Genomic DNA, 19,455 nt, shown 5'->3' on the forward strand with positions numbered 1-19,455 from the left:
ACACTACACACACTGCACACACAGCACCATACACACACAAAACGCACACATCACATACACCACACACACTGCACACACACATATCACAAGCACACCATACCACACATAGTACCCGTACACGCCACACACATACACCACAAACACAACACATACACACACCATACACCACCCACAGTATTCACACGACACCCACAGTACACACCACACACACATATACGTACCCCATGCACTTACTACACACACAGACCACACACACACACCATACATATACATCACACACATACGTCTTCGCACACCTCACAGAGTACATACAATACTCACTTTTAGAACTTAATTCAGGTTTTAAGGAGCCTGGATAATAAACTATTTTATTGGCGTTTGAATGAGCTAAGAAAATGCATATAAATACACATGCTTAACTATAATTGCACAAGAAGCACTTTCGAAATCACAACATTAGATTAAACCATCTAAGTTTTTTATTGTTATTGAAAAATCAAGTCTTCATCATTTTACTAGGAACTATTTACAGAATAAACTAATGAGATTCTTCCTGAGGTAAAAAGACTTTTTGGAAAAACTTCTCCTTGATGAAATTTCACTTAAAACATCACTTCCATCGTGAAGTATTTCTTTAAGATATTCTTGGTCCCTTCCTTTTATGTGGAATCGTCAATTCAAATTTTAAAGGAGACTTTGAGATGTTTTTCATCTATTATTTTAAAAATGTTGAAGGGGTTTTTAATTCTGCCTTCAACAGAGATGGACACACCTCTGATTATGATGTAAAACTGAATACGTTACTCTGGCAGGCTTTCTCCTCTGCAGCTTAGCTGCCATCATTATTAATAAGGATTGTATGCTTTTACTCCATGCACAATCTGTATTCCCTGCTTTATAAAGAATAGAAATCTAATTCTCACTATGAAGGCAGATAAAAGTAATCACTTCAACCTACAGATGACTGAATCATTTACCAAAGCACTCAGACTTGAAATAGCATTTATCCAATGTGTCTATATTTCTACACAGATTCATATGAAGAACATGTAGTTTAAATCATTGCACAATTTATGCTTTTAATGAGTTGTGATGGTCATTAATATTTTTATCACATTTCCCCAAAGGTGGGCTACTTACTGTTATTCTTTTCAGTTAGAAATATAGATGTATTTTCTATTTTTGATGACTTTGAAACATAATCCTTGGAGTATAATATCTATGTGTAATATCTGTGGAAAGCATGAAAATAATATTCAAATAGTATGCATTTTTCCAGAATGAAAATTTCCTCTACAATAATATTCATCTTTTTTTTCCTGATGGGCACATAAAAGTCAACATTTGTAACATTGCTGGACATTATTTACATTAAACATGCATCAGCTTCAGGTGTTGCAGAAACTGGGCAAGAGGCCACAAGGTACACAATACACACACATGCACACACACATACACACACACAAAACTTGTATTATTATACTTACCTAAGTGTCTAAAGAGGTGGATAAATATATTAGATTACTCTAGAGCAATGATTTTTGTGGGGTCTATTGGAAAATATAACTGTAGTTTGAGTGAGATTCCTCTAAGAGATTCAACTTGGCCACTATTTATTGAGTATTCAATTTTAAAAATACTAACAGAAGGCTTATGGGATGAAAATTTCCATCTAAATCTATGGGAAATGTGCTACTAGATGCTGTAGTAAAAAGACTGATGTGGTAATTGTAAAATATATCTAATATCTAAACCTTTGTTTGTTTTTTACCTGAAATCCTTATGGGGGTGATTGTGTATATCAATTTGAATCTTCCCATCAACAAGATGCATAAATAAATAGCCAGCCTACCTCTATAAATTAATAATTTAGTTCACCTGCTCTATATTTTGAGGGCAGTGCTTCTCTTCCTTTGACATGCACAAAATTCACCCGGGGATCTTATTAAAATGCAAACTCATAGACCACGCTTTGACTAGCTAAGATAAGGGATCAGAGCATCGAAATAAGTGTGTAGGTGACTGTGCTAAGATTCTACTGCTCATTTGGGCACTGGCTCACCATATTAACAAAGCTTAGGACCTCTAGTCCTTGCTGGAAAAGAAATACACATACATAGGATGTGACTGTGCATATGGAATATCTGTTGTGTTCTGGACATTGTGCTAGACAACAGAGATAAGAAGTCAAATAATCTCTTGTCTCTATCTGAAAGGAGCTTCATACACAGTGGCTTCTGGATGTCTCTGAAACTGGGTTCACTTTCAGATTTGATTATTATATTTATGATTTGACACTGGCATTGAACCCCATGATGTGATAAATTTTTCCAGAACCTGCCAGAACAACTGGCTTTGCTCTCAACATCAGGAAGCCACTGGGGCACATAAATAATTCATTTATGTTTGTATTTCACCAGACAGGAACAACTTGAGCTAATTTTCTAGCCACATTTGTTTAGAGCTGTTTTTGTTTGTTTTTGTTTGTTTGTTTGTTTTTGAGACAGGGTCTCACTCTGTCACCTAGGCTGGAATGCAGTGGTGTGATCAGAGCTCATTGCAGCCTCTACCTTCTGGGCTCAAGCAATCCTCTCACCTCAGCCTCCTGAGAAGCTGGAACCACAGGCTTATACCACCATACCCAGCTAATTAAAAAAAATTTTTTTGTAGAGACAGGGTTTTTCCATGTTTCCTAGACTTGTCTCCCACTCCTGAGCTCGAGCAATCTGCTTGCCTCAACCTCCTAAAGCGTAGAGCTGTGTTTTTAGTCTTTTTTGAACTGTTTTACAATCCAGTGTTGAATTGATAAGTTTGGATTCACTCTGATATTTGCAGATTTAACATCCTACTTCACAAGATGCTCATAGCCTTGATCCATTACAGCCGCTGCCTCATCCATCTCTGCTCATATCCTTGATCCAATACAGCAGCCACCCCGTCCATCTCTGCTCATAACCTAAACTAATAGAAGCCAGAGGGAAGAAATGGAAGCCAACGTGAGTCCAGAACACACATTTTATAAGAGCATAAGAAATTTAAAAATAGCAAAGTATATAATGAAGTTTGTAATAGATATTCATGGCTAAAATTTATTCTTATATTAATCAATATATTCTATAAATTGGGAGAAAATATTAAACACATGAAAAGTAAGGAACTTTCATCATTAATATATAATTAATATGACAAGAATGTGGTTTATGTTTTTATCTTTACAAGATTTAGGAACATTTGGTGCAAGGAGGAAGAATGTATAATCATGGGGAGCATGTATGATACTGGAGGGAGCCTTTTGACAAGGGGGAAATGGCATCACGAGATATGCTATGATCATAGCTATGTAGGAACACAGCTACCTATGGTCTCCCCGTCAAATCCACTGGGCAGTGTTCAGTTACCAACATTGAGGTAGAGCTCACTCTCCCAGATCAGAAGAGAAAATATACACTGCAGTCAGAAGCCACTGAGTAGGAAGCTCCTTTCAGATAGAGGCAAGGGATATTTGACTTTTTATCTCTAGTGTCTAGTACAATGTCCAGAACACAACAGATATTCCATATGCACAGTCACATCCTATGTGTCTGTATTTCTTTTCCAGCAGGGACTGGAAGTCCTATGTTTTGTTAATATGGTGAGCCAGTGCCCACATGAACAGTAGCATCTTAGCACTGTCACCAGGGCATCCATTTAAATGCTCTTATCTTAGCTAGTCAAAGTGTGGTCTATGAGTTTGCATTTTAATAAGATCCCCGGGTGAATCTTGTGCATGTTACAGAGGAAGCACTGTCCTACATCCCATGTGACAGGCTCTCATAGTCACCATCATCACGGGAATCTTGCCCATGTTACAGGGAAGTGCTGTCCTACATCATATGTGACAGGCTCTCATAGTCACCATCATCAAGGGAATCTTGCACACGTTACAGGGAAGCACTGTCCTACATCGTATGTGACAGGCTCTCATAGAAACCACCACCCTGGGAATCTGCATTTAGAGCATTTAACTATATGGGCTCTGAAATCAGGTGACTTAGGTTTAGACTTCCTTCTACTTTTTACTAAGCAGAGAACTCTGGGGTGAAAACTTTACGATGCCATTTTATCACATCCAAATTGGAGGCACGGGGAGATTATAACATTTTCCATGGAATATTGTTTTACATATAAAATGAAATAGTACATAGGAAGCTTCTGCCATGCACTAACTGCACAATAAATATTAGTTAATAGTAACTCATTTAGTCCTAAGGTCTATAAATTTGTACACTATAATTTTTTGTGACTACCCAAATTTTTATAATTAATGTAGATTTAAAATCAAGGAATGTTTTTATGTGTAGTTGGTAATCAATATGACACGCCAAAATTATATGTAAGTAGTTTATTTTTGGTGGGGATATAAGAAATTTGCCATCAAAAGAGGGAAAATAATCTATGTTTTCAGACTCCAGAAAGCTGTGACTCACCTAAGAGTTTGCAATTTCTGTCTGGGGGAAAAGAAGAGAAAGTTGACTGTGAAAATAAGCATTACCATAGAGCCTTCTCTATGGCAACATCAAAAATGAAAGCTGATTCTCATCTTCCTAACAATCTGCAAAGACAAGTGAAACACAACCTACTGAGCATCAAGTTAAAGAAGGAGTGAATTTGAGTAGCACGGGAGGAAACCATGTCTTCGCCACTAGGGAAATAAATATGACCACTGTTCCTCTGCCCTCCTCCGAGGCTAAAGATGGGTTAAATATGAGTGCCTGACCTCAGATAATGGAATGAGCAAAAAAGCTATAAAATGCATGCATTACATAATTAAGAGGGTGGGAAGGGATTTTTTTTAAAAAGGCAATTCCTAGTTGGGTTCCTTCCTGTTCACGCCATTGATGAAGAAATTAGTCTTGCCCTAGAATTCTGGGGATGGCTGCAGACACAACAAACACTGAGCAGATGAAATTCACGGTAATTTATTCATCGCGCATACTCAGCCCAACAGGGGATGACACTGCATCTATGCAGGTCTACCCGGGGGTTCACTCTGGAGCACAGGGTGCGGGAGGCAGGCTTGGTAGAAATCAGAGGGTGGGGTAACCCTTGGTCCCTTGAGGGATGTGCTTGACTAATTCAAAGAGTTTAGCAGTCTGTTGGGGGCATGAAAGCCATTAGGCTGAGGACCTGGTGGGATGCAGCATGAAATTTTAGGTGTCACAGTAAAATTGACCCTGATGCTTTAAAATCAGACATTTATTTTAATGATGACTAATATTTTGAGAGGCTGAGAGAAGGCTGTTGAGACATTGTAATAAGTGCTTAGGGGCATGAGACATTAGGAAGGCCACAATTATGAGTAATGAAATGTGGAAGCTGATGAGAAGCTACTGCTCCCATTTGCTTAGCAGGAAGCAGGAAAAGTGATCTGGGATCTCTGGCAGCACAAGCGTGTTGGTAAATATTTGGGTGATGTCATGCATCCCCCATGCATTGGTTTTCATGTCTCCAGTGAGTTGTTGGGCAAGTCTGATATTACTGATCCACACGCAGCAGGCAGCTTCCTGTATGGAGCTACCTCCACCCCTTGGACAGTTCAGGACTGAAAGGTTGTCAAAAATGTGAACTCCTTGATGTCCAGTAAAGGCAACTGAGGGGACTGTCTAGCATTGGTGTAAAAAGTGCACTTTCCTAAGGAGCATGAACTTAGAGTAATCAAATCCTGTGGCAACAGTGGTATCCAGCAGGGCATCCACTCGATTCTTTGTACCTTAAATAGGAATTCTTTGAGGAGCTCAGTGTATCTCTCAACTGAAGCAGCTGCCTGCATCCTACAGGGGCAGTGGAAGCTCTGCTGGACACCTTCTTCACAAGCCCAGCACTGTGTTTTCTGATGAAATGTTGCTTTGGTGATCATCAGTAGTGTCTGGAACTCTGCAAGGGATAAGGAGTGTCCCTGTGAGAGCTGTACTGTGTCCTGAGTTAAAATAAAGGCATCTGTTACCTTGTTTGGTATTCTGAGTATCCATGAGACAAGAAGTTTATTTAATTCAATGGGGAGGGAAGGTGGACAATTCTTGGCAATTGTCAAAAAGTTTGTAAAAAGGTACAAGTGGGGCTAATTGTTGGCCCAGCATCAGTGCTATGATGACCACCTCAAGTTTGGCCAGTTGTGCTGAGGCTTGGGTGTCATCCTTTATCAGGGACATCCTAGCTAAGGGAGGGAAAGCAGCAGCATCCCACTGAGCTCCATCACGTCCGATCATGGCATCCATTCAGAAGGTGGACGAACTTCACTGCTGGTCTCTCAGTCGATCCCAAGGGCCTCGCAGAGGGGTGACATCCAGCACCACAGTCTGAGGATGAAGGAGGCCAGTGTCAGCATTATAGCCTAAGGATGAAGGAGGCCAGTGCTTCCTGCAGATGAGAATTGCAGGGGGTACAGATTTGACTCCATTCGGAGGCAAGGAGGTCTCTGCAGCTGTGCCAAAGCTGTGGGGTGCTGCTTCCCAAGGCCTGATGGCCAGATGGGCATGAAGGCTCATGGACATGGATGCAGAGCCCTCTCTTTCAAGGGTCCAGTATGTGGCCAGCAATCACTGCCCTGATGCTGTACAGCACAGGGTCAAAAGAGGCAGGTTTGTTTTTTACATCAGAAGCCCATGGACTACTTATGGCCACCACATGCAAACCAGATACTTCAGGAGGCATGGGAAGAGGCTGCTAAAGCATCTACAGTGTGTTCTCTGATGAAATTCATAGGAGCGCCTGTTAATTTAAATTCGGATGGATTCCAGACTTGTTGGAGGAGGCTTCATTCAAGGTGGGTCAGCTTTCAAGTGACAGCATCAGCGAGATTAAGTAAAATTTGTAATTAAGAAATATGTAGTCACCTGAACCCCAAGTAAAGAATTAAAGGGCTGGGCACAGGGACTCACACCTGTAATCCCAGAACTTTGGGAGGCCGAGGCCAGAGGATCGCTTGAGCCCAGGAGTTCGAGACCAGCCTGGGTAACATAGCGAGAGCTTTTCTCTACAAAAAAATAAACAAAATTAGCTGAGTGTCATGGCACACACCTGTAGTCCTAGCTACTTGGAAAGCTGAAATGGGAGAATTGCTTGAGGTCAGGAGGTCGAGGCTGCAGTGAGCTCAGATCATGCCACTTCATACCAGCCTGGGTGACAGAGCAAGACTGTGTCTCCAAAAAACAAAACACAAATTAAAGAATGTTGGGCTTGTATTAACATTGTGGATGCTGAGAGGATGAATAACTATTTCTTGAAAGTGTCAGGAATAGAGCAGCCCCAAGTTTACCAAGGAATTTTCAGGAATTGAAGCAAAGTGGCAGGGCCTTGCACTGCTGTGTTGGGGAAAGGTCCATTCCCTTTGTATAAGGCTCTTTGTGTCTGTGTGTCCTTAGTGTATAAAATGAATTTTCTCTGAGAATGATGTCATCAGTATAATGTCACACCTGTACTCCTGTAGAAAGGTGGCTGCAGTGAGATATTGTCTGTGAAGATTGCATGCAATGATGAGGCTGCCAAGGCACTCCGTGTGTTACCTGGTCCCTTCAGAGAGGAAGGAATGCTATGATTGAGACTCTGTTAAAATAGGCACAAAAAGAACATGTTAGCCAAATCTATAACAACAAAATATTTACCAGTTGCATGAATATATATAGGTTTATTATAAGGAATTGGCTCATGTGGTTATGGAAGCTAACAAGTCCCAGGGACTGCAGTCAGCAAGCTGGAGACCCAGGACTGCCAATGGTGGAGTTCCAGTCCAAGCCTAAATTCCTGAGAACCAGGAAAGCTGATGGCATAAGTTACAGTCCACGTCTGACTTCAAAGGCAAGAGAAGATCTACGTCTCAGCTCTGAAAGCATCAAAGAGAGTGAATTATCTCTTCCTCTACCCTTGTGTTTTATTTGGGCTTTAATGGATTGGATGAGGCCCACTCACACTGGGGACGGCAACTACTTTACTAAGTCTACATATTCAAATGTTCATCTCATCAAGGAACACCCTCACAGACACATCCAGGGTGTTTAACCAAATATCTAGGCAACCCAACTTGGCAAATAAAATTAACCATCATAAGGTGAAAGATGTATACGATCTGAAGAGAAACGAGGGATGCAGGACGGTTAAACATCTGCAAGTCAATAAATGTGATGTGCCATATAAACAGAATTAAAAACAAAAATAACAAGATCATCTCAATACATGCAGAAAAAGGATTTGACAAAATCCAGCATCCCTTTATGCCTAAAACCCTCAGCAAAATCGACATAGAAAAAGCATTTGACAAAATCCAGAATCCCTTTATGATTAAAACCCTCAGCAAAATCAACATAGAAGGGACATACCTTAAGGTAATAAAAGCTATATATGACAAACACACAGCCAACATTACACTGAATGGGGAAAAGTTGAAAGCATTCCCCCTGAGAATTGGAACAAGACAATGATGCCCACTTTCACCACTTCTATTCAACACAGTACTAGAAGTCCTTGCCAGAGCAATCAGATAAGAGAAATAAAGGGCATCCAAATCAGTAAAGAGGAAGCCGAACTGTCACTCTTTGCTGATGACATGATCGTATACCTAGAAAGCCCTAAAGACTCATCCCAAAAGCTACTAGAACTGGTAAATGAATTTAGCAAAGTTTCAGGATACAAAATTAATGTACCCAAGTCAGTGGCTCTGCTATACTGTAACAGTGAACAAGCTGGGAATCAAATCAAAAACTCACCACCTTTTACAATAGCTGCAATAAAAACCTGAGGAATATTATGATTATATATATATGATTATAATTATAATATAATTATAATAGTATATTCCTATAGTTGTCAATTGCATGCAATCTTTGCATACAAAATCTTAATAATATCCGGAATACTTAACCAAAGAGACAAAGACCTCTACAAGGAAAACTACAAAACACTGCTGATAGAAATCATAGATACAAACAAATGGAAACATATCTCATGCTCACGGATGGGTAAAATCAATATTGTGAAAATACCATACTGCCAAAAGCTATCTACAAACTCAATGCAATCCCCATTAAAGTACCAACATCAGTCTTCACAGAACTACAAAAATTCACATGGAACTAAAAAAGACATAGAAGGAACATACCTTAAGGTAATAAAAGCCTAGAACCAAAAAAGAATCTGTATAGCCAAAACAAGACTAAGCAAAAAGAACAAATCTAGAAGCCGACTTCAAACTATACTAGAAGGCCATAGTCACCAAAACAGCATGGTACTGGTATAAAAATAGACATATAGATCAATGGAACATAATAGAGAACCCAGAAATAAAGCCAAATACTTACAGTCATCTAATCTTCAACAAAGCAAACAAAAACATAAAGCAGAGAAAGAATACCCTATTCAACAAATGGTGCTGGGATAAATGGCAAGCCACACATAGAATAATGAAAGTGGATGCTCATTTCTCACCTTTTTCAAAAATCAACTCAAGATGGATCAGGGACTTAAATCTAATATCTAAAACTATAAAAATTCTAGAAGACGACATTGGAAAAACCCTTCTAGACATTGGCTTAGGCAAAGACTTCATGACCAATAACCCAAAAAGCAAATGCAACTAAAACAAAGATAAATAGATGAGACTTAATTAAACTAAAAGGTTTCTGCACAGCAAAAGAAATAATCAGCAGAGTAAACAGATAACCTAAAGAGTGGGAGAAAATCTTTGCAATCTGTACTTCTGATTAAAGGACTAATGGCCAGAATCTGCAAGGAACTCAAACAAACCAGCAAGAAAAAAAAATCCCATCAAAAAGTGGGCTAAGGACATGAACAGACAATTCTCAAAAGAAGATACACAACTGGCCAACAAACACATGAAAAAAATGCTCAACATAACTAATTATCAAGGAAATGCAAATCAAAACCACAGCACAATATGATAACCCCTTCACTCCTGCAAGAATGGACATAATCAAAAAATCAAAAACTAATAGATGTTGGCATGGATGTGTTAAAAAGGGAACACTTTTACACTTTTTGGAGGGAATGCCAGCTAGTACAACAGCTATGGAAAACAGTGAGCAGATTTCCAAAGAACTAAAAGCAGATCTATCATTTGATCCAGTAATTCCACTCCTGGGTATCTACTCAGAGGAAAATAAGTCATTATATGAAAAAGATACTTGCACACGCATGTTTATAGCAGCACAATATGCAATTGCAAGAATTTGAAACCAGCCTAAATGCCCATCAATCAGTAAGTGGATAAAGAAAATGTGATATAAATATTTACCATGGAATACTACTCAGCCATAAGATGGAATGAAGTAATGCATTCACAGCAACGTGGATGAAACTGGACACCATTATTCTAAGTGAAGTAACTTTGGAATGGAAAACCAAACATTGTATGTTCTCATTCAGACATGGGAGCTAAGCTATGAGGATGCAAAGGCATAAGAATGATACAATGGTCTTCGGGGACTCAGGGAAAGGCTGGCAGTGGTGAGGTGGGTGCGGTGAGGGATAAAACACTACACATTGTGTATAGTGTACTCTGCTTGGGAGATGGGTGCACCACAAATCTCAGAAATCGCCACTAAAGAACTTATTCATGTAACCAAACACCACCTGTTCCCCAAAAACCTATTGAAATAAAAAAAACCCATCATATTCCCCAAAAACCTATTGAAATAAAAAAAAAATTAACCACAATAATATTTAGCATTGGGTACGAGGGCCTTAATGGATGGGAACGCTGCAGTCACATTACAGCAATCCACTGTGAAACACCATTTATTCTTTGCAGGTTTAAGAACAGGCCAAATTCTACTGCTAAATGTTGAAGCAATGAGGATAATCACCCCTTCACTAATTAATTAGGTCTTATATAATAAGTTTTATTTATTTGAAGTCATGTTGTAATTTCTATTGGACCATATTTGCTAATTTATCAAGATGGGGAGGCTAGGCACCATGGCTCACACCTGTAATCCCAGCACTTTGGGAGGCCAAGACAGGAGGATTGCTTGAGGCCAGAATTTAGAGACCAGCCTAGGCAACGTAGCAAGACTGCACTTCTATAAATTTTTTTTAATTGGCTGTGTTGGTGCATGCCTGTAATCCCAGCTACTTGGAAGGCTAAAATGGGAGGATTGCTTAAGTCCAGGAGTTCGAGGCTGCAGTGAGCTATGATTGTGCCACCACACTTCGTTCAGCCTGGGTAATGGAGCAAGACCCCATCTCTAAAAAAATGAAAAATTAAAAATAAATCAAATTTAAAAAAAAACAGGAGAGGGAGTTCTGTAAGGTTACATTTGTGAAGTCAATGTGTAAGTGCAAATGGTTTAATTTCAATTTGTTACTCATTAGGTCAGAGCATCCATGTCCCCTATGGACAAAGTCTTCTATGACTACAGGAAATTTAGTCAAGGTAAAAAATATGAGGCATAACTATGTGTCCTCTATTCTATATGCAGTTACTCTGCTAGGATTAGGGGGTGCAAAGTTTAAATTTAGTGAAATCTCAGGTATAACAAAGTTTGAGCTCCAGTATTGATTACGTTTGTGAAGGTATACCAATTGGTAGATTTCAGCAGATGTTAAATTGATTCAGAATATATGCTGGAGAGTTACAAATACCAGTCAGCACCCTTTTATCTTTGGACTATATAAATTGTTTTAGAAGATAGTACATTTCCAGTTAGGTCAGATGATAGACTTCCGTTTTAATTTAAATTTTGTTTTTGTGCATATCCAAGTTCCTTCCCTTCCTTTCTTCCTTCCTTCTTTCCTTCCCTCCTTCCTTCCCTCCTCTTTCCTTCCTTCCTTCCTTCTTTCCTTCCTTCCCTCTCTCCTTCCTTCCCTCTCTCCTTCCTTCCTTCCCTCCCTCCCTCCTTCCCTCTCTCCTTACTTCCTCCTTTCCTTCATTCCTTCCTGCCCTCCTTCCCTCTCTCCTTCCTTCATTCCTCCCTTCCTTCTCTCCTTCCTTCCTTCCATCCCTACCTCCCTCCCTACTTCCTTCCTTCCTTCCCTCTCTCCTTCCTTCCCTCCTTCCTTCCTTCCTTCCCTCTCCCTCATTTTTTTGTCACTGGATATGGGGAAGGTTGTTCTCTTTCCCACTCATATTTATAATTTTTTTATTTGAAACAGCCCCAAATCAGTATCTTCAGAGTTAAGGTCCTGCTTGTGAGCAGATTGTGTGGTTTAAGAACCCTAGACTTAGGTTTGGATTTCTCCCTTCTCTGCCTCAGGGGTACCGCAGGTGTCTTTTCCTATAACCCTGGGAATTAGATCTTTGTTGCGGCAGAACCATCAGTGCGATGCAGCACAACCAGCCCACAATTCAGGGGTCAGTGGATTGAAATCATCTTCTGCTACGGCTCCATCTGGTTCTTCTAGGACTTCCCTCCATCTTTTTTATTGCTTTTAGGGTGTTGAAACTTTAGTGGCATATACATTGCCTCATAATCAGTCAAAACTCCACTTATCCCACGTCATGGATTAAAGAGAACATTGCCAGGAGCCCTTCACTCTTCTAGAAGGACTTTATTTGATAGGTCCTTTTTCCATGGTTTAGAATAAAAGAGGTAATAACTAGAAATGTCTCCCTCATAATAGGCTCTACAGCAAATTCTATTTTAAAGGCTGTTGTTCGTGTCTTCAACTATGGCTGTCTTTAATGTTTTTGTCATCCACAGACAGTTGTTGTCTCATTTTGGTCCTCTTTAAATAATGGTTTTATAATCAGCTATAAAATCTAACAGATGACCTTAAATGCAGGATTCTGCTTAATAACGCTGGAGATTGTGACATTAGAATAGAAGGAAAACTTTCAAATAGAAGAGTGAATGGTGTTTGGTCTACTTTGGACCGTATTTTTATAAATATGTTATTAGTATGTATTCCAAAATTATTGGAAACTTATATAGAAATGTAATCCCCAGTGTTGGAAATGGGGCCTGCTGGGAGGTGGCTGGTCCATGGGAGCAGCTTCCAGTGGTTCCCACTGTAGGAGATGGGGCCTGCTGGGAGGTGGCTGGTCCATGGGAGCAGTTTCTAATGGTTAAGCATCATCCCCCTAGCGCTGTTCTTGTGATAGAGTTCTCATGAGATCTTGTTGCTAAAGTGTGTAGGACCTTCCCCCTCTCTCTCTTCCTCCTGATCTTGCTTTCCCTTCCACCATGATTGTTAAGTTTCCTGAGGCCTCCCCAGAAGCTGAGCAGATGTCAGCATCATGCTTGCTGTACAGGCTGTGGAAGTGTGAGCCAATTTTCAGTGCTCTTCTGTTTTCTTTTTATTTTATTTTTTTAAATTTTATTTTAAGTTCCAGGATACATGTGCAGGACATGCAGGTTTGTTACATGGGTAAACGTGCACTATGATGATTTGCTGTACTTATCAACCCACCGCCTAGGTATTAAGCCCCACATGCGTTAGCTATTTATCCTGATGCTCTCCCTCCCTGTCCCCAACGACAGGCCCCAGTGTGTGTTGTTCCCCTCCCTGTGTCCCTGTGTTCTCATTATTCAGCTCCCACTTATGAGTGAGAATATGCGGTGTTTGGTCTTCTGTTCCTGTATTAGTTTGCTGAAGATGATGGCTTCCAGATTCATTCATATCCCTGCAAAAGACATGATCTCATTCCTTTTTATTGCTGCATAGTATTCCATGGTGTGTATGTACCACATTTTCTTTATCCAGTGTATCACTGACGGGCATTTGGATTGAGTCCATGTTTTTGCTATTATGAATAGTGCTGCTATAAACATACGCATGCATATATCTTTATAATAGAATGATTTACAGTCCTTTGGATATATACTCAGTAATGGGATTTCTGGGTCATATGGTCGTTCTGGTTCTAGATCCTTGCAGAATCGCCAAACTGTCTTCCACAATGATGGAACTAATTCACATTCCTGCCAACAGTGTAAAAGTGTTTATTTCTCCACAGCTTTGCCAGCATCTGTTGTTTCTTGACTTTTTTTTTTATTATACTTTAAGTTTTAGGGTACATGTGCACAACGTGCAGGTTTGTTACATATGTATACAAGTGCAATGTTGGTGTGCTGCACCCATTAACTCGTCATTTAGCATTAGGTATATCTCCTAATGCTATCCCTCTCACGTCCCCCCACCCGACAACAGTCCCCAGTGTGTAATGTTCCCCTTCCTGTGTACAAGTGTTCTCATTGTTCAATTCCCACCTCTAAGGGAGAACATGCGGTGTTTGGTTTTTTATCCTTGTGATAGTTTGCTGAGAATGATGGTTTCCAGCTTCACCCATGTCCCTACAAAGGATATGAACTCTTCATTTTTTATGGCTGCATAGTATTCCATGGTGTATATGTGCCACATTTTCTTAATCCAGTCTATCATTGTTGGATATTTGGGTTGGTTCCAAGTCTTCGCTATTGTAAATAGTGCTGCAATAAACATACGTGTGCTTGTGTCTTTATCACAGCAAGATTTATAATCCTTTGGGTATATACCCAGTAATGGGATGGCTGGGTCAAATGGTATTTCTAGTTCTAGATCCCAGAATCACCACACAGACTTCCACAATGGTTGAACTAGTTTACAGTCCCACCAACAGTGTAAAAGTTTTCCTATTTCTCCACATCTTCCCCAGCACCTGTTGTTTCCTGACTTTTTAATGATCACCATTCTAACTGATGTGAGATGATATCTCATTGTGGTTTTGATTTGCATTTCTCTGATGGCCAGTGATGATGAGCATTTTCTCATGTGTTTTTTGGCTGCATAAATGTTTTCTTTTGAGAAGTGTCTGTTCATATCCTTTGCCCACTTTTTGATGGGGTTGTTTGTTTTTTTCTTGTAAATTTGTTTGAGTTCATTGTAGATTCTGGATATTAGCCCTTTGTCAGATGAGTAGGTTGAGAAAATTTCCTCCCATTTTGTAGGTTGCCTATTCACTCTGATGGTAGTTACTTTTGCTGTGCAGAAGCTCTTTAGTTTAATTAGATCCCATTTGTCAATTTTGGCTTTTGTTGCCATTGGTTTTGGTGTTTTCGACATGAAGTCCTTGCCCATGCCTATGTCCTGAATGGTAATGCCTAGGTTTTCTTCTAGGGTTTTTATGGTATTAGGTGAAACGTTTAAGTCTTTAATCCATCATGAATTAATTTTTGTATAAGGTGTAAGGAAGGGATCCAGTTTCAGCTTTCTACACATGGCTAGCCAGTTTTCCCAGCACCATTTATTAAATAGGGAATCTTTCCCCATTGCTTGTTTTTCTCAGGTTTTATAAGATCAGATAGTTGTAGATACGTGGCATTATTTCTGAGGGCTCTGTTCTGTTCCATTGGTCTATATCTCTGTTTTGGTACCAGTATCATGCTGTTTTTGTTACTGTAGCCTTGTAGTATAGTTTGAAGCCAGGTAGCGTGATGCCTCCAGCTTTGTTCTTTTGGCTTAGGATTGATTTGGTGATGCGGGCTCTTTTTTGGTTCCATATGAACTTTAAAGTAGTTTTTCCAATTCTGTGTGGAAAGTCATTGGTAGCTTGATGGGGATGGCATTGAATCAATAAATTAATTGGGCAGTATGGGCATTTTCATGATATTGATTCTTCCTACCCATGAGCATGGAATGTTCCTCCATTTGTTTGTATCCTCTTTTGTTTCACTGAGCAGTGGTTTGTAGTTCTCCTTGAAGAGGTCCTTCACGTCCCTTTTAAGTTGGATTCCTAGTTATTTTATTCTCTTTGAAGCAGTTGTGAATGGGATTTCACTCATGATTTGGCTCTCTGTTTGTCTGTTATTGGTGTATAAGAATGCTTGTGATTTTTGCATATTGATTTTGTATCCTGATACTTTGCTGAAGTTGCTTATCAGCTTAAGGAGATTTTGGCTGAGACAATGGGGTTTTCTAGATATACAATCATGTCTTCTGCAAACAGGGACAATTTGACTTCCTCTTTTCCTAATTGAATAGACTTTATTTCCTTCACCTGCCTAATTGCCCTGGCCAGAACTTCCAATAATATGTTGAATAGGAGTGGTGAGAGAGGGCATCCCTGTCTTGTGCCAGTTTTCAAAGGGAATGCTTCCAGTTTTTGCCCATTCAGTATGATATTGGCTGTGGTTTTGTCATAGATAGCTCTTATTATTTTGAGATACATCCCATCAATACCTAATTTATTGAGAGTTTTTAGCATGAAGGGTTGTTGAATTTTGTCAAAGGCCTTTTCTGCATCTATTGAGATAATCATGTGGTTTTTGTGTTTGGTTCTGTTTATATGCTGGATCACATATATTAATTTGTGTATATTGAACCAGCCTTGCATCCCAGGGATGAATCCCACTTGATCATGGTGGATAAGCTTTTTGATGTGCTGCTGGATTCAGTTTGCCAGTATTTTATTGAATATTTTTGCATCAATGTTCATCAAGGATATTGGTCTAAAATTGTCTTTTTTTTGTTGGGTCTCTGCCAGGCTTTGGTATCAAGATGATTCTGGCCTCATAAAATGAGTTAGGGAGGATTCCCTCTTTTTCTATTGATTGGAATAGTTTCAGAATGAATGGTACCAGTTCCTCCTTGTAACTCTGGTAGAATTCGGCTGTGAATCCATCTGGTCCTAGACTCTTTTTGGTTGGTAAGCTATTGATTATTGCCACAATTTCAGAGCCTGTTATTGGTCTATTCAGAGATTCAACTTCTTCCTGGTTTAGTCTTGGGAGAGTGTATGTGTCGAGGAATGTATCCATTTCTTCTAGATTTTCTAGTTTATTTGCATAGAGGTGTGTGTAGTATTCTCTGATGGTAGTTTGTATTTCTATTGGATCGGTGGTGATATCCCCTTTATCATTTTTTATTGCATCTATTTGATTTTTCTCTCTTTTCTTCTTTATTAGTCTTGCTAGCAGTGTATCCATTTTGTTGATCCTTTCAAAAAACCAGCTCCTGAATTCATTAATTTTTTGAAGGGTTTTTTGTGTCTCTATTTCCTTCAGTTCTGCTCTGATTTTAGTTATTTCTTGCCTTCTGCTAGCTTTTGAATGTGTTTGCTCTTGCTTTTCTAATTCTTTTAATTGTGATGTTAAGGTGTCAATTTTGGATCTTTCCTGCTTTCTCTTGTGGGCATTTAGTGCTATAAATTTCCCTCTACACACTGCTTTGAATGTGTCCTAGAGATTCTGGTATGTTGTGTCTTTGTTCTCATTGGTTTCAAAGAACATCTTTATTTCTGCCTTCATTTTGTTATATACCCAGTAGTCATTCAGGAGCACGTTGTTCAGTTTCCATGTAGTTGAGCAGTTTTGAGTGAGTTTCTTAATCCTGAGGTCTAGTTTGATTACACTGTGGTCTGAGAGACAGTTTGTTATAATTTCTGTTCTTTTACATTTGCTGAGGAGAGCTTTACTTCCAAATATGTGGTCAATTTTGGAATAGGTGTGGTGTGGTGCTGAAAAAAATGTATATTCTGTTGATTTGGGGTGGAGAGTTCTGTAGATGTCTATTAGGTCCGCTTGGTGCAGAGCTGAGTTCAATTCCTGGGTATCCTTGTTAACTTTCAGTCTTGTTGATCTGTCTAATGTTGACAGTGCGGTGTTAAATTCTCCCCTTATTATTGTGTGGGTATCTAAGTCTCTTTGTAGGTCACTCAGGACTTGCCGTATGAATCTGGGTGCTCCTCTATTGGGTCCATATATATTTAGGATAGTTGGCTCTTCTTGTTGAATTGATCCCTTTAACATTATGTAACGGCCGTCTTTGTGTCTTTTGATCTTTCTTGGTTTAAAGTCTTTTTTATCAGAGACTAAGATTGCAACCCCTGACTTTTTTTGTTTTCCATTTGCTTGGTAGATCTTCCTTCATCCTTTTATTTTGAGCGTATGTCTGTCTCTGCACCTGAGATGGGTTTCCTGAATATAGCACACTGATGGGTCTTGACTCTTTATCCAATTTGCCATTCTGTGTCTTTTAATTTGAGCATTTAGTCTATTTATATTCAAAGTTAATATAGTTATGTGTGAATTTGGTCCTGTCATTATGATGTTAGCTGATTATTTGCTCGTTAGTTGATTCAGTTTCTTCCTAGCCTTGACGGTCTTTACATTTTGGCATAATTTTGCAGCGGCTGGTACCGGTTGTTCCTTTCCATGTTTAGTGCTTCCTTCAGGAGCTCTTTTAGGGCAGGCCTGGTGGTGATAAAATCTCTCAGCATTTTCTTGTCAGTAAGGTATTTTATTTCTCCTTCACGTATGAAGCTTAGTTTGGCTGGAAATGAAATTCTGAGTTGAAAATTCTTTTCTTTAAGAACGTTGAATATTGGCCCCCACTCTTTTCTGGCTTGTAGAGTTTCTGCCGAGAGATCCGCTGTTAGTCTGATGGGCTTCCCTTTGAGGGTAACCCGACATTTCTCTCTGTCTGCCCTGAACATTTTTTCCTGCATTTCAACTTTGGTGATTCTGACAATTATGTGTCTTGGAGTTACTCTTCTCGAGGCATTCTTTGTGGCGTTCTTTGTGGCATTCTCTGTATTTCCTGAATCTGAATGTTGGCCTGCCTTGCTAGATTGGGGAAGTTCTCCTGGATAATATCCTGCAGAGTGTTTTCCAACTTGGTTCCATTCTCCTCGTCACTGTCAGGTACACCAATCAGACGTAGATTTGTTCTTTTCACATAGTTCCATATTTCTTGTAGGCTTTTTTCGTTTCTTTTTCTTCTTTTTTCTCTAAACTTCCCTTCTCACTTCATTTCATTCATTTCATCTTCCATCACTGATACCCTTTCTTCCAGTTGATCACATCAGCTCCTGAGTCCTGCATTCTTCACATAGTTCTCGTGTCTTGGCTTTCAGCTCCATCAACTCCTTTAAGCACGTCTCTGTATTGGTTATTCTAGTTACACATTCGTCTAAATGTTTTTCAAAGTTTTTAACTTTTTTGCCTTCGGTTTGAATTTCCTCCTGTAGCTCAGAGTAGTTTGATCTTCTGAAGCCTTCTTCTCTCGACTCATCAAAGTCATTCTGTGTCCAGCTTTGTTCCATTGCTGGTGAGGAACTGCATTCCTTTGGAGTAGGAGTGGTGCTCTGCTTTTTAGAGTTTCCAGTTTTTCTGCTCTGTTTTTTCCCCATCTTTGTGGTTTTATCTACTTTTGGTCTTTGATGATGGTGACGTACAGATGGGGTTTTGGTGTGGATGTCCTTTCTGTTTGTTAGTTTTCCTTCTAAACATCAGGACCCTCAGCTGCAGGTCTGTTCGAGTTTGCTGGAGGTCCACTTCAGACCCTGTTTGCCTGGGTATCAGCAGTGGAGGCTGCAGAACAGCGGATATTGGTGTACTGCAAATGCTGCTGCCTGATCATTCCTGCGGAAGTTTGTCTCAGAGGAGTACCCAGCCGTGTGAGGTGTCAGTCCGCCCCTACTGGGGGGTGCCTCCCAGTTTGGCTATTCAGGAGTCAGGGACCCACTTAAGGAGGCAGTCTGCCCATTCT

General features: G+C 39.7%; 1 long non-coding RNA gene across 1 annotated transcript in view, besides 1 other annotated feature; it reads left to right on the forward strand.

Annotated features, from left to right (window-relative positions):
- Positions 1 to 6,003, forward strand: part of LOC105379477 (uncharacterized) — a 9,665-nt gene extending 3,662 nt beyond the window's left edge. The window contains exons 2-3 of the long non-coding RNA NR_134504.1: positions 2,836 to 2,996; positions 4,445 to 6,003. This is a non-coding gene — a long non-coding RNA (uncharacterized LOC105379477). The remainder of the gene's footprint in view (positions 1 to 2,835; positions 2,997 to 4,444) is intronic.
- Positions 1 to 19,455: part of a centromere (Linear centromere model derived predominantly from reads generated in PMID: 17803354. This region does not represent an actual centromere sequence, as long-range ordering of repeats and unmapped WGS contigs is not provided by the model. For details of model production, see http://arxiv.org/abs/1307.0035.) that runs on past both edges of the window.

This window comes from Homo sapiens, chromosome 20 (genome assembly GCF_000001405.40).
Source record: "Homo sapiens chromosome 20, GRCh38.p14 Primary Assembly".
Taxonomy (NCBI): Eukaryota; Metazoa; Chordata; class Mammalia; order Primates; family Hominidae; genus Homo; species Homo sapiens.